The sequence below is a fragment of the Homo sapiens genome, chromosome 11 (assembly GCF_000001405.40).
Source record: "Homo sapiens chromosome 11, GRCh38.p14 Primary Assembly".
NCBI lineage: Eukaryota > Metazoa > Chordata > Mammalia > Primates > Hominidae > Homo > Homo sapiens.
The window spans coordinates 62,874,129-62,899,524 of NC_000011.10; the positions used below are offsets into that span (position 1 = coordinate 62,874,129).

Below are 25,396 nucleotides of genomic sequence, written 5' to 3' on the forward strand. Positions count from 1 at the left end.
AGTTTTGGAGGGCCAGGGGAGGGAGAAAATGAGGATGCAGTATTGTGTGATCATGACTGCAGAAATAGCTGCTGTTGGAGGGCCTCAGTGATCATTTTAAGGTCTCTTATTGCTACTTATCTTTTTTGATGAGATTAAGTATTCTGTCTCTGATCAGTTGAATATCTGATGTCATTAATCCAAGGATAATATGTTAAAAGTACTACCCCATATTTTCCACATACTGACCTGCTATTTCTCTGGTGTTTATCTTTTAGTATTTGGTTTCATTTGAGAGAATGGCTTGCTGCAATGTTTTTCATTTGTCTAACTTACTTGAATACTGGATACTTTTCAGATGGTGCATTTATTTCTCTTCTCCTAAGAGATGACTTTGGTTCTATTTCTTTCACTCTTTCTGGCTTTTATCCCCACTTTGCATTCTTCACCCTTTAGTAAGACAACCCTGACAGGTCTCTTCTTTAGCAGCCAGTGTCCCTCCTATAGGATTCATAGTAACAATTAATAGTATTCTGACATGGGTTCTTCAGATAGTAGCTGCGAAGTGAACTGCTTTAGTTGGAGTCTTTTTCTCTGCTTTAATTTCAGCCACGCTTTGACTTCCAAATGCTCAATTCCTCACCCATCTTTCCTTTTTCTTTTTCTTTTTTTTTTTTTTGGAGACAGAGTCTTGCTCTGTCACCGAGGCTGGAGTGCAGTGTAATCTCAGCTTACTGCAACCTCCGCCTCCCAGGTTGAAGGGATTCTCCTGCCTCAGCCAAGTAGCTGGGATTACAGGCACCCGCCATCGTGTGCGACTAATTTTTGTATTTTTAGTAGAGATGGGGATTTGCCATGTTGGCCAAGCTGGTCTCGAATTCCTGACTTCAAATGATCTGCCCGCCTCATTCTTCCAAAATGCTGGGATTACAGGCATGAGCCACCACACTGGCCTCATTTTTCAAATGGCTAAAATCTTCAAGATTTCTGGCTGATTGGTATTTTAGAGGCAGCTTTGATGTTTTGTTTCTGGGTCTTTGGAATAGAGTCTTGGGCTTTCGAAGATTTATGGAGGCTGTTGGACAGAGACAGTCTCCTGAAGAGTTTCTAGCTGTCCTCCCATCTTCTCTCTGCCTTTAGAAATCCTTCTTAGATGTGGCCGGGCACGGTGGCTCACGCCTGTAATCCCAGCACTTTGGGAGGCCGAGGCGAGTGGATCACGAGATCAGGAGATCAAGACCATCCTGGCTAACATGGTGAAACCCCGTCTCTACTAAAAATACACAAAAAAATCAAAATTAGCTGGGCGTGGTGGTGGGCACCTGGAGTCCGCAGGAGAATAGTGTGAACCTTGGAAGGCAGAGCTTGTAGTGAGCTGAGATCGCACCACTGTACTCCAGCCTGGGCGACAGAGCGAGACTTCATCTCAAAAAAAAAAGTCCTTCTTAGATGTTTTTAGTTGTTTGTTTATTTTTCGAGATGGAGTTTTGCTCTTGTTGCCCAGGCTGAAGTGCAATGGCACGATCTGGGCCCATTGCAACCTCTGCCTCCCAGGTTCAAGCGATTCTCCTGCCTCAGCCTCCTGAGTAGCTGGGATTACAGGCAGCCACCACCATGCCCAGCTCATTTTTGTATTTTTAGTAGAGATGGGGTTTCACCACGTTGGCCAGGCTGGTCTCAAACTCCTGACCTCAGGTGATCCGCCCGCCTCAGCCTCTCAAAGTGCTGGGATTGCAGGCATGAGCCACTGCGCCCAGCCTGTTTGTTTGTTTTCAGATAGGGTCACCCTGTCAGCCAGGCTGGAATGCAATGGTGTGATTGTGATCACAGCTCACTGCTGCCTCAACCTGAGGGCTCAAGTGATCCTCCCACTTCAGCCTCCTTAGTAACTGGGACCACAGGGGTGAGCCACCATGCCTGGCTAATTTGTTAATTTTTGTAGAGATGGGGTCTCCCTATGTTGCCGAGGCTGGTCTCAAACTACTGGGCTTAAGTGATCCTCCTGCCTTAGCTTCCCAGAGCGCTGGGATTAAAGGCATGAGCTGCTGTGCCTGGTCAATCCTTTTTACATGTTTGAGGAAAAATAAATGTCCTGTTTTCAGGCTAAGATCAAGTAATAATCCTCATGTGTTAGGAAGCATGTGACATGGATTTTTGCAGCAGAGGGTTAGAAAGGAACTTTCTTTATATACTTGGCCCCCTGCATTTCAGGGCTCCACCGCCATCTGTCTGTCTGAGTGTAAAGTGGACCTTATTGGCATCTGGGCTGCCAAACTGCTTTTTTTCCTTTGCTTTGCCCAGCCTTCTCTTGAAGGCTAAATTCTTGAAAAATTATATTCTTTGTGTTCCTATAGTAAATATTAAGCTTTATATCAACACATATGGCAGGATCTGAGGCTCTTTACTCACCTCTGGTCCATTTCTCTAGTCTTTTCTCTGTAGTCTTTTTGTTTTCCTGTCCTCCATCTCCTAATTTATTAGTTTTATTATTATATTTTATATTATTTTTTTGAGACAGAGTTTTGCTCTTGTTGCCCAGGCTGGAGTGCAATGGCGCGATCTTGGCTCACTGCAATCCCTGCCTCATGGGTTCAAGTGATTTGTCTGCCACAGCCTCCTGAGTAGCTGAAATTACAGGCACGCACCACCATACCTGGCTAATTTTTGTATTTTTAGTAGAAACGGGGTTTCACCATGTTAGCCAGGCTGATATTGAATTCCTGACCTCAATTGATCCGACTGCCTCGGCCTCCGGAAGTGCTGGGATTACAGGTGAGCCACAGTGCCTGGCAGTTTGTTTTATTTTGGTTGAACAGTTACAAGTCTTGGTTTGTTTTCCTGCAGCAACAGGTTTATCTTGATATGATACAGCGTTATTTAAATTCCTTTTCATTTTCCTGCCTTTGTCTTCACATGCTAGTTTTTTTCAGTTGTTTCTTTTTTCTTCTTCCTTTTCTTTTTTTTTTTTTTTGAGAGATAGTCTTGCTGTGTTGTCCAGGTTGCAGTACAGTGGTGCGATCTGGGCTCACTGCAACCTCTGCCTCCTGGGTTCAAGTGATTCTCTCACCTCAGCCTCCGGAGTAGCTGGGATTACAGGTGCCCACCACCACGCCTGGCTAATTTTTGTATTTTTAGTAGAGACAGCGTTTCACCATGTTGGCCAGGCTGGTCTTGAACTCCTGACCTCAATTGATCTGCCTGCCTTGGTCTCCCAAAGTGCTGATTACAGGTGTGATCCACCGTGCCTAGCCTGTTTAGTTGTTTCTAAGAAGGGAGATATTGGTTTTGATTGACATAGTTCATCCACTTATTTACCAAACACTTGCGAAGTGCCTACTATATGCTGCCTCCGAATAGGCAGGTTCGTCCACAATAGCACAAGGCTCCTGCCACTTGTCTTCAAGGACAAAGAGACATCCAGACAAACAAATGTAATAAACAAATGGGACATGATTGTAGCAGAGGCAGATGCATGGTGGAGGGAAAGTAATTTTGTCTGGGGAGTTGAGAAAAGCTGTCACTTGAGCTAGATCTTGAATGAATAGGAACTCATGAGGTTGAGTGGACAAACAGGAAGGGCCAACAGCAGAGGTATGGCATGTACAAGATGCAGAGCTCTGCCTGAAAAAGCCTGGTGTGTTGTGAGTCTGGCAGGTGTTTGAAGGCTGATGTGGCTGGAGGCTAGTGCCTGTGAAGCAGGTGGTGGCTGATAAGATTGGAGAGGCAAGCTGTTATCCTCTTTATGCATGCAGAAGGAATTGACTTCAGGCTGGGCACAGTGGCTCATGCCTGTAATCCCAGCACTTTGGGAGGCTGAGGCGGGCAGATCACCTGAAGTTAGGAGTTCAAGACCAGCCTGGCCAACATGGTGAAACCCTGTCTCTCCTAAAAATACAAAATTAGCCGGGTGTGGCGGTGCACGCCTCCTATAATCTCAACTACTGGGGAGGCTCAGGAAGAAGAATCGCTTGAACCTGAGAGGCACAGGTTGCAGTGAGCTGAGATCGCGCCACTGCACTCCATGCTGGGTGACAGTGTGAGACCCTGTCTCAAAAAAAAAAAAACAAAAAACAAAAGGAATTGACTTCAGCCATTTGGAGCCATGAGGATCTGTGAGTGAGATACTGTGTCATGTTGGACCATCTCAAAGACAGCTTCTGACCCCACAGTTCTCAACCTTGTTCTTACTTATTTTTAGAGACAGGGTCTCGCTCTGTCTCCTAGGCTGGTATGCAGTGGTGCCACCATGGCTCACTGCAGCCTCACAAACTCCTGGACTCAAGTGATCCTCCTGCTTTTGCTTCCCTTGAGTGTTGGCATCTCATGGGACTCCAGGGGCACATCACCAATTACAGATGATAATTTTTTTTTTTTTTGAGACGGAGTCTTGCTCTGTATCCCAGGCTGGAGTGCAGTGGCGCGATTTTGGCTCACTGCAAGCTCCGCCTCCCAGGTTCACGTCATTCTCCTGCCTCAGCCTCCTAAGTAGCTGGGACTACAGGCACCCGCCACCACGCCTGGCTGATTTTTTTTTTTTTTTTTTGCATTTTTAGTAGAGACGGGGTTTCACTGTGTTAGCCAGGATGGTCTCGGTCTCCTGACCTCTTGATCCACCTGCCTCGGCCTCCCAAAGTGCTGGTATTACAGGTGTGAGACACCACGCCTGGCCTTTTTTTTTCTTTTTTGAGACAGAGTCTCACTCTGTCACCCAGGCTGGAGTGCAGCCGCGCAATCTTGGCTCACTGCAACCTCTGCCTCTCGGGTTCAAGCGATTCTCATGCCTCACCCCTCCAAGTCTGGGACTACAGGCGTGTGCTACTATGTCCAGTTAATTTTTGTATTTTTAGTAGAGATGGGGTTTCACCATGTTGGCCAGGCTGGTCACGAACTCCTGACCTCAAGTTATCCGCCACCCTCAGCCTCCCAAAGTGCTGGGATTACAGGTGTCAGCCACCACACCTGGCCTGTTAGTTTTTTTGAGGCAGAGTCTTGCTCTATCACCCAGACTGGAGTGCAGTGGCCCATTCTTGGCTCACTGCAACCTCTACCTCCTGGGTTCAAGCGATTCTCATGCCACAGCATGAGAAGTGGGATTACAGGGATTAGTAGGTGGGATTACAGGTGTGAGCCACCACACCCAGCCAGGCCCAGATAATTTTAAAATTTATTTTTTTATTTATTTAGAAATGGAGTCTCACTATGTTGCCCCGTCTGGTCTTAAACTCCTGGCCTCAAGGAATCCTCCCTCCTTGGCCTCCTAAAGGGCTAGGTGACAGGCATGAGTCACACTGCGCCCAGCCTTGAGCTTTTGTGCTCGAGATATAGTCCATTCAGAACCTCTGGTTGGCACTTCTTATCTGGCACATGCAGGGCACCTTGGATCTCTTATTATCTTTGAGCACTGGTCTGAACCCACTTGCTTGCCTTCTCCCAGGGGCTGCCCCGTGCACCCCTTGTTCCTAGGGTGGGGATGGGGTTGGATGCCTGGGGTTGCAGAGGGGACTAGCAGAGGGTGACCCTTTTCTCTATGCTATTACTTCAGATCTTGGCTTTTGCTTTCTTCCAAATACACAGCAATCTTGGCTTCCAGCCTAGGTGGGAAAGGGAGAAAGAACCGATTTCCTCCAGCTCCTCTCTGAAAGTAGCCCAACTGGCACTGTTTAGGAACAAGGAGTTCCTGAGAGTGTTGGCACCCCACGGTGTTGATGTCCGGTAGTTCCCTGCTGTGAACCCTGTCTCTGCCCCACTTCAATCCAAGGACCCTGTGGAGGGAATTCTAGGCTTCTTCAAAGCCTCTGCAGTACCAGCTGCCTCCAAGGCCTAACATAGTGAAGTGATAGGGAGACAGGACCTTGGGGGAGTTTGGGGATAACTGTGGGAGTTCCTGCAAGGTGGGTAAGAGTCTGGCCATGGCATCTTCTGGTCTATTCCACAAAAAAGGTGGATGCCTCTGAGACCTAGCTCTGTTATGTTCATTACAGCCCTATCAGTCTCTTCTGGATGTCTGATTCCTAGCTGCCAAACATCCAGGTGCTAGCAGCTGGGGGTGGGGTAGGATAAGAAGGGGGGTGTCTACCTCAACCTTCCTGCCCAAACCATTCATTTTAAAGTACTGTGAAGAAGGCTGGATTAGTGTTAAATTCAATAAAGTTAACAAAGCAAAGTATTGTAGTGAGTACACAATAAATAGTTGCTGCATGAGGAATTTCTTGAAATGAATTCAAGATGAGTCTTGAAAAACGAGTGGGAGTAAGCCGTGCACGGAAGCAGAGGTCTAGCAGAGGTCTAGCGCCAAGTCCCAGAGGCCTGAGAGGGCAAGCCTTGGTGGGGGAAAAGGCAGAAGTTGTGACTGGCTGCCTCTGAGAGTGCAAGTAGCCATGCAAAGTTGGGAAAACCAGACGGCGGCCGGAGCCGTGAACCAGGGGCAAATGGAGGATGGTGTTGGGGTAGTCACTAGCCTGCCGGAATGGAAGAAGAGGGGCGTTTGGGGGCGGTAAGGCCTAAAGGACACTGGAGGGGCCTCGGGATTTGGGGCAGGATCACAGGCCTAGTCCACTTAAAGGTGGCTCCGTGCCAGGCCTTCCCAGAATCAGGTTGAAAAGAACTTTAGGGTTAGACAGGTTGGAGATGAGAAATTGGACCATGCAGGAAGTACTGTCGGAGGCGTGTTCCTGACTTTACTACCCTGAGCCGCCCACGGCTGGGGCAGTCCCCGAGGTTCCACCTTAAGGGGCGGGCCGGGGCGGGGCTCCGCTGCCCCTTCCCAGAGGCCGCGCCTGCTGCTGAGCAGATGCAGTAGCCGAAACTGCGCGGAGGCACAGAGGCCGGGGAGAGCGTTCTGGGTCCGAGGGTCCAGGTAGGGGTTGAGCCACCATCTGACCGCAAGCTGCGTCGTGTCGCCGGTTCTGCAGGCACCATGAGCCAGGACACCGAGGTGGATATGAAGGAGGTGGAGCTGAATGAGTTAGAGCCCGAGAAGCAGCCGATGAACGCGGCGTCTGGGGCGGCCATGTCCCTGGCGGGAGCCGAGAAGAATGGTCTGGTGAAGATCAAGGTGGCGGAAGACGAGGCGGAGGCGGCAGCCGCGGCTAAGTTCACGGGCCTGTCCAAGGAGGAGCTGCTGAAGGTGGCAGGCAGCCCCGGCTGGGTACGCACCCGCTGGGCACTGCTGCTGCTCTTCTGGCTCGGCTGGCTCGGCATGCTTGCTGGTGCCGTGGTCATAATCGTGCGAGCGCCGCGTTGTCGCGAGCTACCGGCGCAGAAGTGGTGGCACACGGGCGCCCTCTACCGCATCGGCGACCTTCAGGCCTTCCAGGGCCACGGCGCGGGCAACCTGGCGGGTGAGTGCAGCGCGCCCCCGTCCCGGGTACCTCCGGTTGAATCTGGTGGCTTGCACCGACCCCCTCCCCTGTCCCCAGACGGATCTAGATGGTTCTTCCCTCCATCCCGTACCGACGACTGTTCCCCCTTCCCCCACCCCCTCCCCGGCACATTGTCCTTCCCTCCTTTCTTTGAAGAAAGCCGACCCGCCCCTCACTCCGTCACGAGGGTGGGTGACTCAGCGTCCTCCTTCCCCGCGGCGCCAGAAGCCAGTTGCAACCGGTTTCTGAAGTAATGTGCAGGACTCCTTACATCAGCTCCTCTGAGTCTCGTGATTCAGCCTTGCCTCCCTCTCTCCCCCTTTGCCCCCTCCCCGTCCCACCCTTAGGCGCTGGGAGAAGGGAGGGTGGGGAGGTCAGGGGCCTCTCAGAGGGGCCTCACTTGTTAACCCAGCCCCCATTTCAGGTCTGAAGGGGCGTCTCGATTACCTGAGCTCTCTGAAGGTGAAGGGCCTTGTGCTGGGTCCAATTCACAAGAACCAGAAGGATGATGTCGCTCAGACTGACTTGCTGCAGATCGACCCCAATTTTGGCTCCAAGGAAGATTTTGACAGTCTCTTGCAATCGGCTAAAAAAAAGAGTGGGTATCCTGGGGTTCCCAAGGAAACAGCTAGAAAGGACTTGGCCAGAGGAAAAGTAGGCTAGAACTTTTGTCTGGTTTCCTGCTAACTGGCTCTGAGTTTTCCTAGGGCAGGTAGAGGGGAGATTTGTTAGTCTTCAGCCTAAAATGGATTTGTCCAGTCGTCTGGGGGCTTTCTACTTGGCTGTGGAATCTTGAGCAGGTCATTTAACTTCTGGGCTTCAGTGCCCTTATTTGCAAAATATAGATATTTACTAAACCAGTGGTTTTAAACTTGTAAAACAGTAGGTTTTTTTGGGGGGGGGGAATCCCAAATATTGTTTTACGACTCGATATAGACACATGTTTAAAAAGGTTCACTTTGGGAGTGGGGAACACAGGGGCCACTTCTCTGCACTATAAACTTTCTGCCTTCCAATATCTTTTTTTTTTTTTGAGATGGAGTCTCACTCTTGTCACCCAGGCTGCAGTGCAGTGGAACGATCTCAGCTTACTGCAGCCTCCTCCCCCAGGGTTCAAGCGATTCTCGTGCCTCAGCCTCCTGAGTAGCTGGTACTACAGCCGTGTGCCACCACACCCAGATAATTTTTTTATTTTTAGTAGAGACAATTTTCAACATGTTGACCGGTCTGGTTTTGAACTCGCCTGGCCTGCCTTCCCATATCTTAAGGCCCTTCCTTGCTCACATCTGTTTCAATGGAATGAATTTTGCCCGGGTTCAAATTCAAGCTTTTGTACCAAGTAATACATAGGAAACACTCAGTGACTTGCATTTGTGATTTCCTTATTTTCCCTTAACTCATAGACTGTCTCATGATTGCGTCTTCCTCCGTTGTTTTAGGCATCCGTGTCATTCTGGACCTTACTCCCAACTACCGGGGTGAGAACTCGTGGTTCTCCACTCAGGTTGACACTGTGGCCACCAAGGTGAAGGTGAGTGTTGGAGCTGATGGCTGGTGGAAGTCAGATGCTGGGGCTGGGACAGTCCTTTCACAGCAAGCCCTGTAGACCCAGCCTGACTCCAGCTGAGGGTCCCTTTGCTCCTTAGGACCAAGGAGGAATGCCTCCTCCTATAGCCAAAGGATAGGCCAATAGCACACCTGTTTTTCTTGTTCCTTTTCTGACCTCTTATTTTTCTTATTTCCTTGACTCTGAGGATGAGACAGTGCCAGGAAGGGACCTTCTCAGAAGTCAGTCTGGAAGTTTGATTTTTCTTTCTTTTGGGAGAGGAAGCCCTTTCTCTGTGAGAATCCTGTCCTGACTGGTTTCCCAGTTCTTGTTTGATGTGTTTGGAATAGAGCCCAGTCTGAAATTATAAGCACTGGGGTACTCCTATGTGTCTGGGACTCTATGCCAAGTATTTTATAGATGTTTTCTAATTCTCTGTATAACCATACAAGGTATATAATTTGCCATAGGTTCAAATGTGTACCCAGCAGGCTAGGAGTAGGGCTTTGAATGTCACCTAGCTCCTGATGTCTGGGTCCTAGGACACTGACCTGTTCAGAATGGGTAGAACAAAAATGGAAGCAGATACTGACACTGCTGGTAGCTGTGATTCTAAGATAGAATTCTGGACTCCCAGCATTTGGGTAGGACCCCGGGATCATCCAGTTTAGGCCTTGCCAGTTACTAGGGGACCCTTTAAAAGTTGCTGATGAGGGAATGTTTTTGGATGGTTTGGCATGAGGGGCGGTACCCTCAGATGGAAATGGAGACCAGAGGAGAGAGTACATGGCCCAGAGAAAGGGAAGAAAAGGAGAATGGGGGTGAAGTTCCACAGTGTGTGCAGGACTGCCAGGATTCCATTCAGCAGCACTGGCCTCTTTTCAAATCTAAACTGCCCTGGGGCTATGCTTTGAATTTCAATCTTTCATCCTTGGCCTTGCTCTGAGCAGTTATTGTACTCACACCTTCCCCAGGCCTCAGGAAACTGGGAGAGGGGGGATCTTGACTGACATTTTAGATCCTGTCTGCTGCTCACTGATTATGACTGTGGACGCGTCTCCCTGCTTCTCTGGGTCTGTTTCTTCATCTCTAAAATAGGTATGCTAACATTCCAATGCTAAGTGTTAAACGAAGTTATGTTTATGGACATACCTTTTCTCTGGGGCCTTTTCTGTGGCTTTCAAAGTTGAAGCTGTGTGATTTGCCAGAGGCAAGAATGAGAAGTAAAATGCTGTAGCACTAAGAAAATGAGTGGAAGGGTAGAGCTGGAGGGGTCCAAAGGCTAAGCCTTTGTAGTGCAGGTGGGGAAGACCCAGGCAAGGCACAGGACTCTCCCCAGCTCCCGGGGAAGTGTGTGGTGGGTGAGGTTTAGTGTGGGCTGGAATTTTCTGAGCCTTTTCCTGAGAACTGATGTCTGTCCTTTATTCTTCTGCCCCCTATAGGATGCTCTGGAGTTTTGGCTGCAAGCTGGCGTGGATGGGTTCCAGGTTCGGGACATAGAGAATCTGAAGGTGAGTTCCCTTTCCACATTAGGGACAAAGCTTGGGCGAGAACAGAGGGACTCAGCTAGAGCCTCATAATATTCTCTGGTCCTTGATTCTGCTTTTTTCTTTCTAGGATGCATCCTCATTCTTGGCTGAGTGGCAAAATATCACCAAGGGCTTCAGTGAAGACAGGTGGGTGCAGGAGCCATTCTGCTGACTCAGCTCCAATGTGGGAACCCCTCAGTGGAGTGCTAGGCCTAAGAAGGGGGGATTCCTAGTCTAGAGCATTTTCTTTACCTTTATTCTTTCTTTAGCTTTTTTTTTTTTTTTTTTTTTTTTTTTTTTTTTTTGAGATGGAGTTCCGCTCTTTTTGCCCAGGCTGGGGTGCGATGGCGTGATCTTGGCTCACTGCAACCTCTGCCTCCTGGGTTCAAGCGATTCTCCTGCCTCAGCATCCCAAGTAGCTGGGATTACAGACGCGGGCCACCACACCTGGCTAATTTTGTATTTTTAGTAGAGACGGGGTTTCTCCATGTTGGTCAAGCCAGTCTCGAACTCCTGACCTCAAGTGATCCACCCGCCTCAGCCTCCCAAAGTGTTGGGATTACAGGCGTGAGCCACTGCGCCTGGCCCCATTCTTTCTTGTGCTAACCTTGAACTCCTCCCTCCCCTCTGCAGGCTCTTGATTGCGGGGACTAACTCCTCCGACCTTCAGCAGATCCTGAGCCTACTCGAATCCAACAAAGACTTGCTGTTGACTAGCTCATACCTGTCTGATTCTGGTTCTACTGGGGAGCATACAAAATCCCTAGTCACACAGTATTTGAATGCCACTGGCAATCGCTGGTGCAGCTGGAGTGTGAGTACCATGCTGGTGGGAAAGGGGGCAGATGGGAGAAGAAAGGGTTGTTGGGAGACAGAGGCAGAGGTGGGTTATGGGGCTCACTGGAGTGTCTCTCCCTGTAGTTGTCTCAGGCAAGGCTCCTGACTTCCTTCTTGCCGGCTCAACTTCTCCGACTCTACCAGCTGATGCTCTTCACCCTGCCAGGGACCCCTGTTTTCAGCTACGGGGATGAGATTGGCCTGGATGCAGCTGCCCTTCCTGGACAGGTACTGCTTGCTGTCTTTCTGTCACAGGGAGGTTGTTTATCCATCTTACAATGATGATTCTGGGGATGGCGGCACATAGACGTGAGCCTTGGGGTGAAAACGCGTTTGATTCTTAGTCAGTAGCTGAGTGGCTATGTGGCTTTGGGCAAATTATTTTACCTTTCTGAATTTTGGTCATCCCTTGTGTTACTGCATTTCTTGAAGGGTGGTTAGTATTAAATGAGGGCATGTTTTTAATGGTAATGCCTGGTACCTGGCAGATGTTTGCTATGGTAGCCACCATTCATTTATTCATTCCTTTATTCTTTGGACAGTGGGTACTGTGCTAGGCTCTGTGCCCTCAGGAGCTCATAGTTTAGTGAGGGAGCCAGATAAATAAGTGGAGAAGTACATGGCAGTGGCTGGGCACGGTGGCTCATGCCTGTAATCCTAGCACTTTGGGAGTCCAAGGTGGGTGGATCACTGGAGGTAAGGAGTTCGAAACCAGCCTAGCCAACAGGGTGAAACCCAGTCTCTACTAAAAATACAAAAATTAGCCAGGTGTGGTGGTGCACGCCTGTAGTCCCAGCTACTGGGGAGGCTGAGGCAAGAGAATCGCTTGAACCTGGAGGCAGAGGTTGCAGTGAACTGAGATTGTGCCACTGCACTTTAGCCTGGGCGGCAGAGGGAGACTCCTTCTCCAAAAAAAAAAAGAAAAGAAAAGAAAGAAAGAAATACATGGTAGGGATACTACTACAAAGGCATTCACTAGCTTTAGATACAGGGTTACTGTTGATCCCCGACTTTTTTTTTTTGTTTGTTTGTTTGTTTTTTGTTTTTGTTTTTAAGACAGCATTTCCCTATGTCGCCCAGGCTGGAGTGCAGTGGCATGATCTTGGTTCATTGCAGCCTCCGCCTCCCAGGCCGAAGTGATCATCCCACCTCAGCCTCCTGAGTAGCTGGGATATGTACCATAGATAGGTGCGTGCCATCATGCCCAGCTGATCTTTTTTTTTTTTGGAGACAGGTTCTTGCTCTGTTGATCTGGCTGGATTGCAGTGGTGCGATTATGTCTCACTGCAACCTCTGCCTCTTGGGTTCAAGTGATACTCCTGCCTCAGCTTCCCAAGTAGCTGGGAATACAGGTGGTCTGGGAATACAGGCACACACCACCATGCCCGGCTAATTTTTGTAGAGACAGGCTTTCACTGTTGTTGCCCAGGCTGGTCTCCAACTCCTGGGCTCAATCGCTCTGCCTGCCCTGATCTCCCAAATTGCTGGGACTACAGGTGTGAGCCACTGTGCCTGGCCACAGCTAATTTTTAAAATTTGTAGAGGTGTGGTCTCACTATGTTGCCCAGGCTGTTCTCAAACTCCTGGGTGCAAATGATCCTCCCACCTTGGCCTCCCAAACTGCTATGATTACAGGTGCGAGCCACTGCACCCGGCCATCAGCATGATGTTTATAGAACCAGTTATTCATTTATTCCACAGATGTTTATAGAATAATTTCTGTCTGTTACACTGAGGATACAGCATTGCACAAGAGAGCTGGAGGTGGTTAGATAATTAGATATGCATAAATAAAACGCCAGCTGCTGATCAGTGCTATGCAAAAGAAGGCGGGGTAAGGAGCCTAGAGACTAGGGGATGATGGGGCTTGTTTTATAGAGAGTAGCCATAGGAGACCTGGTAAGATAACCAAGCAGATACCTGAGGGAAGTGAGAGAGCTGGCTGGCAGCCATCTGGGAGCTCTTGGCTGAGGGGCAACAGTGTATGTGTGAGGACCCTGAGGTGGGAGCCTGCCTCACTCATCCAGTAGAAGTTAGCCAGGCCGGGTGTCGTGGCTTATGCCTGTAATCCCAGCACTTTGGGAGGCCAAGGTGGGTGGATCACCTGAGGTCAAGAGTTCGAGACCAGCCTAGCCAACATGGTGAAACCCCGTCTTTACTAAAAATACAAAAAAATTAGCTGGGTGTGGTGGTGCACACCTATGGTCAGCTACTGGGGAGGCTGAGGCAGGAGAATCGCTTGAACCCAGGAGGCAGAGATTGCAGTAAGCCAAGATCGTGCCATTGCACTCCAGCCTGAACAGAGCGAGACTCCGTCTCAAAAAAAAAAAAAAAAAAAAGTTAGCCAGACATGAGTTGGGGAGGTTATATATTGATGAGGATGTGAATGGGAAGAGGGATACGGGACAGTGGGCCCAGGGCTTTTTTTTTGAGACAGGGTCTCACTCTGTTGCCCAGGCTGGAGTACAGTGGTGGAGTCATGGCTCACTGCAAGCTCAAACTCCTGGGTTCAAGTGATCCTCCCTCCTCAGCCTCCCCAGTATCTGGGACTATAGGGATGTAACACTACACCCAGCTAATTTTTAAAAATTTTGTAGTAGAGATGAGGGCTCATTATGTTGCTGAGGCTGGTTTCAAATGCCTGGGCTCAAGCAATCCTCTTGGCCTTGACCTCCCAGACTGCTGGAATTACAGATGTGAGCCACCATGCCTGACCCCAGGCCTTTTTAAAGTCCTATTTTCTCTGCTTTTCAGCCTATGGAGGCTCCAGTCATGCTGTGGGATGAGTCCAGCTTCCCTGACATCCCAGGGGCTGTAAGTGCCAACATGACTGTGAAGGTAAGAGTTCTAGATGGGTAGAAACTGACCGGTGGAGGGTGGGCTGGGCTTGTAGAAGTCTGTACCCAGGGGAGCCCCTCACACGCTTCTGCTATGTTTTTATCATTCTTAGGGCCAGAGTGAAGACCCTGGCTCCCTCCTTTCCTTGTTCCGGCGGCTGAGTGACCAGCGGAGTAAGGAGCGCTCCCTACTGCATGGGGACTTCCACGCGTTCTCCGCTGGGCCTGGACTCTTCTCCTATATCCGCCACTGGGACCAGAATGAGCGTTTTCTGGTAGTGCTTAACTTTGGGGATGTGGGCCTCTCGGCTGGACTGCAGGCCTCCGACCTGCCTGCCAGCGCCAGCCTGCCAGCCAAGGCTGACCTCCTGCTCAGCACCCAGCCAGGCCGTGAGGAGGGCTCCCCTCTTGAGCTGGAACGCCTGAAACTGGAGCCTCACGAAGGGCTGCTGCTCCGCTTCCCCTACGCGGCCTGACTTCAGCCTGACATGGACCCACTACCCTTCTCCTTTCCTTCCCAGGCCCTTTGGCTTCTGATTTTTCTCTTTTTTAAAAACAAACAAACAAACTGTTGCAGATTATGAGTGAACCCCCAAATAGGGTGTTTTCTGCCTTCAAATAAAAGTCACCCCTGCATGGTGAAGTCTTCCCTCTGCTTCTCTCATAGCAGGAATTTCTCTCCTTCCTCCCCTCCCATGCGTCTCCTCCAACTCCTTCATTATTTATGTAGGGTCCCAGGGCCAGAGGAGAGGGGGCCTCCCAAAGTCAACAGCATGGAGGTGTCAGGGCTGGGAAAGCACCCATGCCTCACCCATGCTGGGCCACGGGGCTCTCTGGACATCTTGGGTCTTGCCGACTCTTAACTTCATCCCCTTCAGCAAAGGGCTCTAGCCAAACATAGTTAGTTTTCCTGTTTTTGCAGACTTGGCCTTTCACGGAGAGTAGGGGTGGGATGGTCTGGTTTTTAAAAGGTATTTCTAAAGGATACTAGAGGTCATGCATTCAAGAATTTGTTGAACACTCAGCACATACCAGAAACTGTCCCTGTTCTGGGGTCACAGCAGGGAACACAGTACAAAAATTCCTGCCTCCTTGGGGCTCATACCCTTTGGGGAGCAAAGAAAAAAGACACAGCTGTTGTAGTGCAGAGGATATGGTGACAGTGTTTTTATGGAGGAAAAAGTAAAGCAGGAAAGGTGTTTCAGGGTAGAGGGGGCCAAAGGAGGCCTCACCACGGAGGTGACCTGTGAGTAAAGGCCTAATAAGTGAGGGAGTTCACCTGGTGAGTATCTGGGGAAGGGGCTTCCTGGGACTGAGGGGTGGGAGCCTGGCTGATATGAATGAGGAAAGGAGTAAGGGATGAAGTCTCATCGGCAAGGAGTGGGCAGATCATGACAGTTGTAATAAGGTGGTCACGTAGGGTGCAGAGAGTTTGGCAGCCTACGTGGTTGGAGGGCATGGTCCCCACAAGTCTGTTTTCACTTCAATACCAGCTGCAAGTTCAGGGGTCCCCATGACCACCTTCAGGTAGGTAATAGACTAGAGTGACTCAGAACTCAGGAAGGTATTGGGATTATGGTTTTATTACAGCAAAAGCATACCCAGAGCCAGCCAAAAGATGAGAGGCCTGGGGCGGGGTCTGGGAGGGAGCTAAATAAGAAGCTTCCTGCTATCTTGCAATGGAGTCCTGGTACTTCTTCCCGGCCATGACGGAGATATAACCAGAGAAGCTCACTTGATCCTTGGGTGTGCCGAGTTTCCCCTGGTGTTTAATCACATAGTGCCCTGTGGCTGACCTTTAATCTTCAGCCCCTGTGAGAGCTTTGGGCTAAGGCCTTTAGTTGTCTCCATTTCCCCCAGAGGTTGCCTGTTCCAAAGCTCAGATCGTAAATCACATTTATCACTGACACTCCTGTTGGTCAGGACATTCCATGGGTCTAGAGGGCACTTACCAGTAGCCGAGGGTAAAGGCCAGACTTCCAAGTAAGAATTCTTCACTACACATAGAGTCTGAGGGAGTGGAATGGGAGTTGTTGGAGGGTTTTGAGCAGAGTGACATGGTCTCGCTTGGAATTTAACAGACTTCACTGGCTGTTACTAGCCAGCTTGCAGGGAGGCCAGTTAAGATGGTTTGTTCCTGCAACCTAGAATACTTTCTAGGATGGTAGTAGTGGAGGTGGTAAGAAGTGTTAAGAAGTGTTTGGGTCCTGCGTTTCTTTTTTTTTTTTTTTTTTTTTGAGACTCACTCTTGTCACCTAGGCTGGAGTGCAGTGGTGCGACCGCTGCAAGCTCCGCCTCCCAGGTTCATGCCATTCTCCTGCCTCAGCCTCCCGAGTGGCTGGGACTACAGGCGCCCGCCACCACACCCGTCTAATTTTTTTGTATTTTTAGTAGAGACGGGGATTCACCGTGTTAGCCAGGATGGTCTCGATCTCCTGATCTCGTGATCCGCCCACCTCGGCCTCTCAAAGTGCTGGGATTACAGGCGTGAGCCACGTGCCTGGCTGGTCCTGCGTTTATTGTGCAAGCAGATCTGCAGTATTTGCTGTTGGGATCCTGTTGCAGTACTAGTGATCTGCGCAGGCCTCATGGCCCTTGGAGTTAGTTCGGCTCTCTTAGTTTTCTTACAGAAAAGAATGCTGGCTGGGTGCGGTGGCTCGTGCCTGTAATCCCAGCACTTTGGGAGGCCGAGGCAGTTGGATCACCTGAGGTCAGGAGGTCGAGAACAGCCTGACCAATATGGCAAAACCCCGTCTCTACTGAAAATACAAAAATTAGCCGGGCATGGTGGTGGGCGCCTGTAATCCCAGCTACTCGGGAGGCTGAGAAAGGAGAATTGCTTGAACCTGGGAGGCGGAGGTTGCAGTGAGCAAGATCACACCACTGCACTCCAGCCTGGGCAAAAGAGCAAGACTCAGTCTCGGAAAAAAAAAAACAAAACAAAAAACGCGGGTCACTGGTGCAGGCTTCACTTCCCATGGGCTGTGTCCTGGAGTGGGCCTGGGCCTCTGAGGGTTTCCTGGTGTAGGGGAGAGATCAAGACATTAAAAGACCCAAATTAAGGCCCAGGATCCTGAGGCTGTCAGCACAGTTCCTGAGAAGACACTCAGCCTGCTGGGCCTTGGCTTCCCTCTGCCTAGGGTTTCCCTTCTCTCTCAGCAACCACCCCCACACCCGCCCCACCTTCTGGCTGTTGCCTGCTCTGGGCCTCTTCCTGAGGCTCCCCACCCTTCCCTGTCCATGTCCTTTCCCAGGGTCCCAGCTCCAGCCCTCCCCCTTTCCTCCTTCCTCTGCCTCCTGGACTCCCCTCTTAACACAGTTTTTATCTTAGTGCTATTATGGATGGAGCCTCATTATGGTTATGTGCTTATTTAATTTTCATCTTTTCCCCCGTCCTAACCACTAGACCACCAGGGAGATTTTCACTTAAGAAAAGTATAGTAAGGCCAACTGGTGGCTCATGCTTGTAATCCTAGCACTTTGGGAGGCTGAGGTGGGAGGGTTTCTTGAGGCCAGGAGTTTGAGACCAACCTGGGCAACATAGTGAGACCCCTGTCTCTATTAAAAAAAAAAATTAGCTGGGCATGGTTGCATGTGCCTGTAGTCCCAGCTAACCTGGAAGCTAAGGCGGGAAGATCACTTGAACTCTGGAGGTTGAGGCTGCAGTGAGGTATGATTGCACCACTGCACTCCAACCTGGGTGACAGAGTGAGACCCTGTCTCAAAAAAAAAAAAAAAAAAAAAAAAATTATAAGATACATGGCATAAAATTTACTATTTTATTTATTTATTTTTGAGATGGAATCTTGCTCTTTCGCCCAGGCTGGAGTGCAGTGGTATTCATCTGGACTCACTGCAACCTCCGCCTCCCGGGTTCAGGTGATTCTCCTGCCTCAGCCTCCTGAGTAGCTGGGAATTACAGGTGCCTGCCACCACACCCAGCTAATTTTTGTATTTTTAGTAGAGACGGTTTCACCATGTTGGCCAGGCTGGTCTTGAACTCGTGACCTCAAGTCATCTGCCCTTCTTGGCCTCCCAAAGTGCTGGAATTACAGGCATGAGCCACTGCGCCCGGCTGTTAGCAAGCATTTTTGAGTTACTGCTCTGTCTCTGGTACCATGCTCAACTTTCTGGGTACAGGGGTGAACAAGACCCTGTTCTGACATGATTTCCAACCTCCAAAGGACCAAGCGCTTGAAATGATAAGCACTGAGAACCTCTCTTAAGGGTTAAGGGCACCACAAACTGAGATAATGTAACAATGTAGCAAGTCATTGGTTTAATGACTTTCACTTTTAAGTCATTATGACACACACCTAGGAGGACTGTGGGAACCCTGTTCATGGAGGCTGAGGGCTCAGAGAAGTAAAGGGACCCTTCTAGACACAGCAATGGAGCTGCCATTCAGACCCAGGCCTTAGTACCATGGTCAAGCCCCATGTGCCAATGGACTTGGTCCTTCCTGGGATCCCTGGCCAATTACCTGCCTTTGGCTCATGGGTCAGGGTGGATATCTCTGTCAGCCTGAGCCATTCTTCTGGTTCCAATTGATGTGCTACATGTTGGGGACATAAACGGAACTAAAATACTGTCCTGCTGATCTGATTTTCACTGATCAGGAGTGAAAGCAGATGTGTAAGTAACCGGGGGTGAGATAAAGGCTGTAGAGCACCAGGCCCTGTGATGGACCGAGGAGGAGCTTAACCCCAGAGGGATCAGGAAAAGCTTCCTGGAGCCTTCATTTGAGCTGAGATTGAGGCACCAGAAGGCATTCACGTTATGCATGTGAAGGAAAAGGCCACCGGGTATAGGTGACATTATGTACCACTGCTCAGTTGAGACAGCCTGACGAATGTGAGGAACTGTAACTGGGACATAAAGTGTGATTTTGGACAAATTGGGAGAGTGGTGAGAGCCAACCAGAGGCTGAAGCACAAAGGGCTTTAACAGCCATGGCTCAAGTTGTCTGTACTTTACCCCATCATGTAGATCAGTGGTTCCCAGCCTGGTTATGCAGAATCCTCTGGAAAAAATTTTCCCATCCAACTTACACCAAATCAGAATCTCCAAGGGGCATATGCTGTGAATCTCCAAGGGTGTGAGCTTGGACGTTTATTTTAATTTTATTTTATTACTTTTTTTGAGAAGCAGTCTCACTCTGTCACCCAGGCTGGAGTGCAATGGCACAATCTCGGCTCACTGCAACCTACGCCTCCCGGGTTCAAGCGATTCTCCTGCTCCAGCCTCCTGAGTAGCTGGGATTACAGGTGCCCACTATCATGCCCCACTCAATTTTTGTATTTTTTTTAGTAGAGACGGGGTTTCACCATGTTCAGGCTGGCCTCAAACTCTCGACCTCAGGTGATTCGCCCGCCTTGGCCTCCCAAAGTTCTGAGATTATTGGCGTGAGCCACCGTGCCTGGCTGGAAGTTTATTTTTAGCCACCTTCCCCAAATGATTCTTAAAGCAGATCAGTGTTTCCCAAGTGTGCTGAGTTATGCCCGAGGGCAATGATTAGAAATAAAAGCCTTCTCCTGCGCAATGGCTTGGGCCTGTAATCCCAGCACTTTGGGAGGCCGAGGCGGGCAGATCACGAGGTCAAGAGATTGAGACCATCCTGGCCAACATGGTGAAACCCTGTCTCTTCTAAAATAACAAAAAGTGGCTGGGCGTGGTGGCTCACGCCTGTAATCCCAGCACTTTGGGAGGAGGAGGCGGGCGGATCACGAGGTCAGGAGATCGAGACCATCCTGGCTAACACGGTGAAACCCCGTCTCTACTAAAAATACAAAAAACTAGCCGGGTGTGGTGGCTGGCGCCTGTAGTCCCAGCTACTCAGGAGGCTGAGGTAGAAGAATGGCATGAACCTGGGGGGCGGAACTTGGAGTGAGCCGAGATCGTGCCACTGCACTCCAGCCTGGGCCACAGAGCGAGACTCCGTCTCAAAAAAAAAAAAAAAAAAAAAAAAAAAATTAGCTGGGCGTGGTGGCGTGTGCCTGTAGTCTCAGCTACTTGGGAGGTTGAGGCAGGAGAATTGCTTGAACCCTGGAGGCGGAGGTTGCAGGTTGTAATAAGCCGAGATTGCGCCACTGCACTCCAGCCTGGTGACAGATCGAGACTCCGTCTCAAAAAAAAAAGAAAGAAAAGCCTTGAATTTTTCTCCTGGATGTTTTGATTCAGAAGGTCTGGGATGGGACACTAGAACCCATGTAACAAGCTCAGCTAAGAACAAGAGAAAGAACAAAAAAAGAACAAGAGGCCGGGCGCGGTGGCTCACGCCTGTAATCCCAGCACTTTGGGCGGCCGAGGTGGGAGGATCATGAGGTCAGGAGATCGAGACCATCCTGGCTAACATGGTGAAACCCCATCTCTACTAAAAATACAAAAATTAGCTGGCATGATGGTGCACACCTGTAATCGCAGCTACTCAGAAGACTGAGGCAGGAGAATCGCTTGAACCCGGGAGGCAGAGGTTGCAGTGAGCTGAGATCGTGTCACTGAACTCCAGCCTGGGTGACAGAGCAGGGCTCTCTCTCTCAAAAAAAAAAAAAAAAAAAAAAAAGTCAAGAAGACAGGCTGTGGATTTGGAGAGAAGGGGATGGGTTGGAGAAATGAGTCAAGAGAAGAGACTCCAGGATTTGTGACCACCTAGGTGGGATGGGCTGGATATGAAGGGAGAAGGGCTGTGCTGTGACTCCTGAGTTTCTAGCTTAGGTGACTCGGAGTGCAGGCTGGGGCCATCAAGCTGAGTAGTGGAGGCAGGAAGAAAAGTAGCTGAGGAGGCTAGGCACAGTGGTTCATGCTGTAATCCTAGCACTTTGGGAGGCTGAGGCAGGTGGATCATGAGGTCAGGAGTTCAAGACCAGCCGAGCCAACATGGTGAAACCCTGTCTCTACTAAAGATACAAAAAATTAGCCGGGCATGGTGGTGCGCACCTGTAATCCCAGCTACTTGGGAGGCTGAGATAGGAGAATTGCTTGAACCTGGGAGGAGGAAGTTGCAGTGAGCTGAGATCATGCCACTGCACTCCAGCCTGGGCAACAGGGTGAGACTCCATCTCAAAAAAAAAAAAAAAAAAAAAAAAAGAAAAGTAGCTGAGGGTGGAAAGCTGATCAGCTCCATGCAGATACGCTGGGTGCCCTTATCCTTGCAGGTGGAGGTTTCCAGCAGGGGAGAGTCTACAGCTCAGCAGAGGGCAAGATCTGGGAGCCCTGGGGGTAGAGGTGGGGGATTTGCCATGAGGATAAATGATGTGTGTGGGTGGAGAAGGGCAGAAGGGTGAGATTGGAGCCCCAAGGACTGGCAACATCTATAGACTAGAGACAGTTGAAGAGAGACCCACATAGAAGGCAGAGAACAGAGCCTGGGGCTGGTGATAGGAAGACAAGAAGAGGCCAGTTGGTATCCGTAGAACTGTCCCAGGTGGCCTTCAGATTTGGTGACAAGGAGAGCATCAGTGGTTTCTGGGTGATCTTCTCCAGAGCACTTCCAGGGGAATGTGGAGAAATTGATTTTTTTTAATTTGAAGGATGAGAAGGATTTGTACATGTTTCTAGATAGTATCAGTTGGAGCACCTGGTTTTCTTTTTCTTTTTTTTTTGAGACGGAGTCTTGCTCTGTCGCCGAGGCTGGAGTGCAGTGGTGTGATCTCGGTTCACTGCAAGCTCCGCCTCCTGGGTTCAAGCAATTCTCCTGCCTCAGCCTCTCGAGTAGCTGGGACTACAGGCACCTGCCACCACGCCTGGCTAATTTTTTGTATTTTTAGTAGAGACGGGGTTTCATTGTGTTAGTCAGGATGGTCTCGATCTCCTGACCTCGTGATCCGCCCACCTTGGCCTCCCAAATTGCTGGGATTACAGGTGTGAGCCACCGCGCCCAGCTGGAGCACCTGGTTTTCTTACGCAGCAAAAGAATTTATTGGAAGGCCACCAGGAACTGCCAAGAGGAAGCAGGACCAGACTTGGAAAACGGACAGGAAGCAAGCGCCAAGAAGCAGGAAGTACAATTGTCTTTTAACTGGAACAGCCTGGGATGCTGCCACCGAGAAACATTCTGCCAAGATGTGTGTGGCTGGGCACAAAGGCGTGCTGCACGGAGGCATTGGCCACCCTGGGTGGGATGTGGGTGGTGCTGAAATTCAGAACATGTTCCATTTGCAATGGCCCTTGCGTGTCCCGAGTTCAAGGACAAAGGGGGATCACCTCTTATTTCTTACAAAGGGCTCTCTCCACTGTAATCCCAGCTACTCAGGAAGCTGAGGTGGGAGGACTGTCTGAGGCCAGGAGTTTGAGACCAGCCTGGGCAGCATAGCGAGACCACAACTCTACAGAAAATAAAATAAATAGCCTGGCATGGTGGCACATGCCTGTAGTCCCAGCTGCTTGGGCGGCCGAGGTGGGAGGATTGCTTGAGCTAGGGAGGTTGAGGCTGCTGTGAGCCATGATTACACTACTGCACTCCAGCCTAGGCGACAGAGTGAGACCCTAAATCTAAAAAACAAAACACAGGGCTCCATCCAGTTGCCAAATCACGCACCCATGATACTGTCACTGCTCTGCAGGGACACCCTCTTAAAATTCACACAATGATGCTGATGTGGTTAGTGTGGCCCTAGAAATAGAATAGTCAATGGTGATTTTATTTTATTTTATTATTTATTTTTGAGACGGAGTCTCGCTCTGTCACCTAGGCTGGAGTGCAGTGGTGCGATCTTGGCTCACTGCAACCTCCACCTCCCGAGTTCAAGCATTTCTGCCTCAGCCTCCTGAGTAGCTGGGATTACAGGCACCCACCACCACGCCCAGCTAATTTTTGAATTTTTAGTAGAGACGGGGTTTCACCTGTTGGTCAGGCTGGTCTCGAATTCCTGACCTCATGATCTACCCACCTTGGCCTCCCAAAGGGCTGGGATTACAGGTGTGAGCCACTGAGCCCAGCCCGATTTTATTTATTTTTATTTTTTCATTTTGTTTTTGAGACGGAGACTTGCTCTGTCACCCAGGCTGCAGTGCAGTGGCTCAGTCTTGGCTCACTGCAACCTCTGCCTCATCAACGGTGATTTTAAGATTTTTGGTTTGAGCAGCTAGAAGATTGGATTTGCCATTTAATGAGATGGGGAAGGCTGCAGAAGGAGTGGACTTAAAAGGAGAAATAGGCAGCTGAGTTTGGGCCTTTAATGCCTTTGAAATCTTAGCCATTAAAGTGCAAATGTGAAGACATCAGCTGGACATACTGCCCTGCTATTCACGGAGAGGCCTGGGCTGGAGATGTGAATTTAGGAGTCCTCTGCACAGCTGGTATTTAAAGCCATGAAACAATAGGAGGTGATCAGGGGAGTAAGTGCAGAGAGGGAAAAGTAGAGGCCCCAGGACTCAGCTCTTCAGACGTTGGAGAAATGGGGGTGGGCCAGCAATACAGACAAAGCATGAGGGGACAGTGAGATAGGCAGAGGGGTGTGGTCCTGGGGATCAAGTGAGGAGGAAGAGGTAAATGCTGTCAAATGCTGCTGAGGGGGCCATGCGAGGTGGCTCACACCTGTAATCCCAGCACTTTGGGAGGCTGAGGCGGGTGGATCACCTGGGGTCGGGAGTTTGAGACCAGCCTGACCAACATGGAGAAACCCCGTCTCTACTAAAAATACAAAATTAGCTGAGCGTGGGGGCACATGCCTGTAATCCCAGCTACTCGGGAGGCTGAGGCAGGAGAATCGCTTGAACCCGGGAGGCGGAGGTTGTGGTGAGCCGAGATTGCACCACTGCACTCCAGCCTGGGTGACAGAGTGAGACTCCGTCTCAAAAAACAAAAAATTAATTGAGAATTAATAATAATTGTATAGATTTATGGGGTGTGATAAACCTCCAAGTGTCAGAGGTTTGGGGAGAAAGGAGAAATTGTGAATAAACCCCTCAGACCTTCCTATTCACAGTGTCTGTCTGGGGACCAGTAGCAACCACAGTAACAACTTGTTGGAAATACAGATTCTCAGGTTTACTCAGACCTATTGAGTCAGGGTCTTGCTGCCAATCAGGCTAGAGTCAGTGGTGCCATCATAGCTTACTGCAGCATCAAACTCTTGGGCTCAAAGGATCCTCACATCTCAGCCTCCTGAATAGCTAGGACTACAGGCATGCATCACCACACCTGGCTTTTTTTTTTTTTTTTTTTTTAACTTTTTGTAGAGATGGGGTCTTACTACATTGCCCAGGTTGGTCTCAAACCTCTGGCTTCAGGCAATCCTCCCACCTCAGGCTCCTGAAGCACTGGGATTACAGATGTGAGCCATTGTGCTCAGCCGGAATCTGCGTGTTTTTTTTTTTTTTTGAGTCTTGCTCTGTCACCCAGGCTGGAGTACAGTGGTGCCATCTCCACTCACCGCAACCCCCCACCATCCCGGGTTCAAGCAATTCTCCTGCCTCAGCCTCCCCAGTAGCTGGGATTACAGGCACGTGCCACCACGCCCAGCTAATTTTTGTATTGTTAGTAGAGGTGGGGTTTTGCCATGTTGACCAGGCTGGTCTTGAACTCCTGACCTCAGGTGATCCACCTGCCTGAGCCTCCCAAAGTGCTGGGATTACAGGCATGAGCCACCGCGCCTGACCCGGAATCTGCATTTTAATGAGATCCCAGGTGATTCCTATGCACACTCAAATTTGACAAGCTCTGATGCAGGAGTGTGGGAGAGCCACCATTTGAGAGATTTGCAAGTTGATTGCCATGTAGTGGGTGGCGGGAACAACTGGCTTGAGATCAACCTCTCAGCCTGCCTTTGTTTCTCTTGGTGCTGCCTTGAAGACTCCAGGTCCTTCTAACTGGTGGTGACAAAAAAAAAAAAAAAAAAAAATAACCACAGTATGATAAGAAAGAGAAAATGTGCCCTCTCCTTCTGCAGCAGCAGAAATAAAAAGCAGATTCTTTTTTGCATCGTAAAACCATCTTTGCAAATGTTATTTCTAACAAGGGAGTCTCGTCAGACAGTTAACTTTATGAGACTTGCTTTGTCCTGCGAAAGTAACCTTTAACTTTTAAAAAGCTTGTGATTCTGATTGCTTGTCTTCCTTAATAGTGTGTTGCCCTGGCAATAATATTTAAATTCACATCTGTGTTTTCTAGAAGGTATAAATACCTGTGAGTTTTCTTTGTTAAGCCAGAGGGGGAGCATTGACACATTCCTCTTCTCCCACGCGCATGAAGTAGAATAAACCCAGTGACTGCAAGATTTCTTAATCAAACAAAGAATTTGAGAATATTGTCTCATTTAAATCAACATGGAGACCAGGGGTGGTGGCTCACGCCTATAATCCCAGCAT

The 25,396-nt window shown here is 49.6% G+C and overlaps 1 protein-coding gene across 5 annotated transcripts in view, besides 6 other annotated features; it reads left to right on the top strand.

The window, feature by feature from the left end:
- Positions 1-14,732, top strand: part of SLC3A2 (solute carrier family 3 member 2) — a 32,752-nt gene extending 18,020 nt beyond the window's left edge. For 2 of the 5 annotated variants that reach the window (NM_002394.6, NM_001012664.3), the window contains 9 exons: positions 6,891-7,319; positions 7,765-7,938; positions 8,780-8,871; positions 10,329-10,397; positions 10,504-10,562; positions 11,049-11,229; positions 11,337-11,480; positions 14,007-14,090; positions 14,203-14,732. In NM_002394.6, the coding sequence (NP_002385.3) occupies positions 6,891-7,319; positions 7,765-7,938; positions 8,780-8,871; positions 10,329-10,397; positions 10,504-10,562; positions 11,049-11,229; positions 11,337-11,480; positions 14,007-14,090; positions 14,203-14,565 (1,595 nt within the window). In that variant the 3' untranslated portion in view covers positions 14,566-14,732. Of the gene's footprint in view, positions 1-2,655; positions 2,752-6,767; positions 7,320-7,570; positions 7,939-8,779; positions 8,872-9,860; positions 9,985-10,328; positions 10,398-10,503; positions 10,563-11,048; positions 11,230-11,336; positions 11,481-14,006; positions 14,091-14,202 lie in introns of those variants that run through there. The other 3 variants (NM_001012662.3, NM_001013251.3, NR_037193.2) reach the window with 3 other exon arrangements.
- Positions 6,090-6,139: an enhancer, noted in NCBI's record as "active region_4865". NCBI's record gives its function as "activates an Ori minimal core promoter by ATAC-STARR-seq in GM12878 lymphoblastoid cells {active_cell/tissue: GM12878}" and the evidence as "EXISTENCE:reporter gene assay evidence [ECO:0000049][PMID:35858748]".
- Positions 6,509-7,400: an enhancer, noted in NCBI's record as "NANOG-H3K27ac-H3K4me1 hESC enhancer chr11:62648109-62649000 (GRCh37/hg19 assembly coordinates)". NCBI's record gives its function as "activates a minimal SCP1, AML or CMV promoter by ChIP-STARR-seq in primed H9 embryonic stem cells {active_cell/tissue: H9 hESC(primed)}" and the evidence as "EXISTENCE:reporter gene assay evidence [ECO:0000049][PMID:30033119]".
- Positions 6,509-8,243: a biological region, named in NCBI's record as "MED14-independent group 3 enhancer GRCh37_chr11:62648644-62649843".
- Positions 6,790-7,059: an enhancer, noted in NCBI's record as "active region_4866". NCBI's record gives its function as "activates an Ori minimal core promoter by ATAC-STARR-seq in GM12878 lymphoblastoid cells {active_cell/tissue: GM12878}" and the evidence as "EXISTENCE:reporter gene assay evidence [ECO:0000049][PMID:35858748]".
- Positions 7,044-8,243: an enhancer, noted in NCBI's record as "MED14-independent group 3 enhancer chr11:62648644-62649843 (GRCh37/hg19 assembly coordinates)". NCBI's record gives its function as "activates an origin of replication core promoter dependent on BRD2, BRD4, P300/CBP and CDK7 cofactors, and independent of MED14, by STARR-seq in HCT116 cells {active_cell/tissue: HCT116}" and the evidence as "EXISTENCE:reporter gene assay evidence [ECO:0000049][PMID:35650434]".
- Positions 7,480-7,759: an enhancer, noted in NCBI's record as "active region_4867". NCBI's record gives its function as "activates an Ori minimal core promoter by ATAC-STARR-seq in GM12878 lymphoblastoid cells {active_cell/tissue: GM12878}" and the evidence as "EXISTENCE:reporter gene assay evidence [ECO:0000049][PMID:35858748]".
- Positions 14,733-25,396: the final 10,664 nt, after the last annotated feature.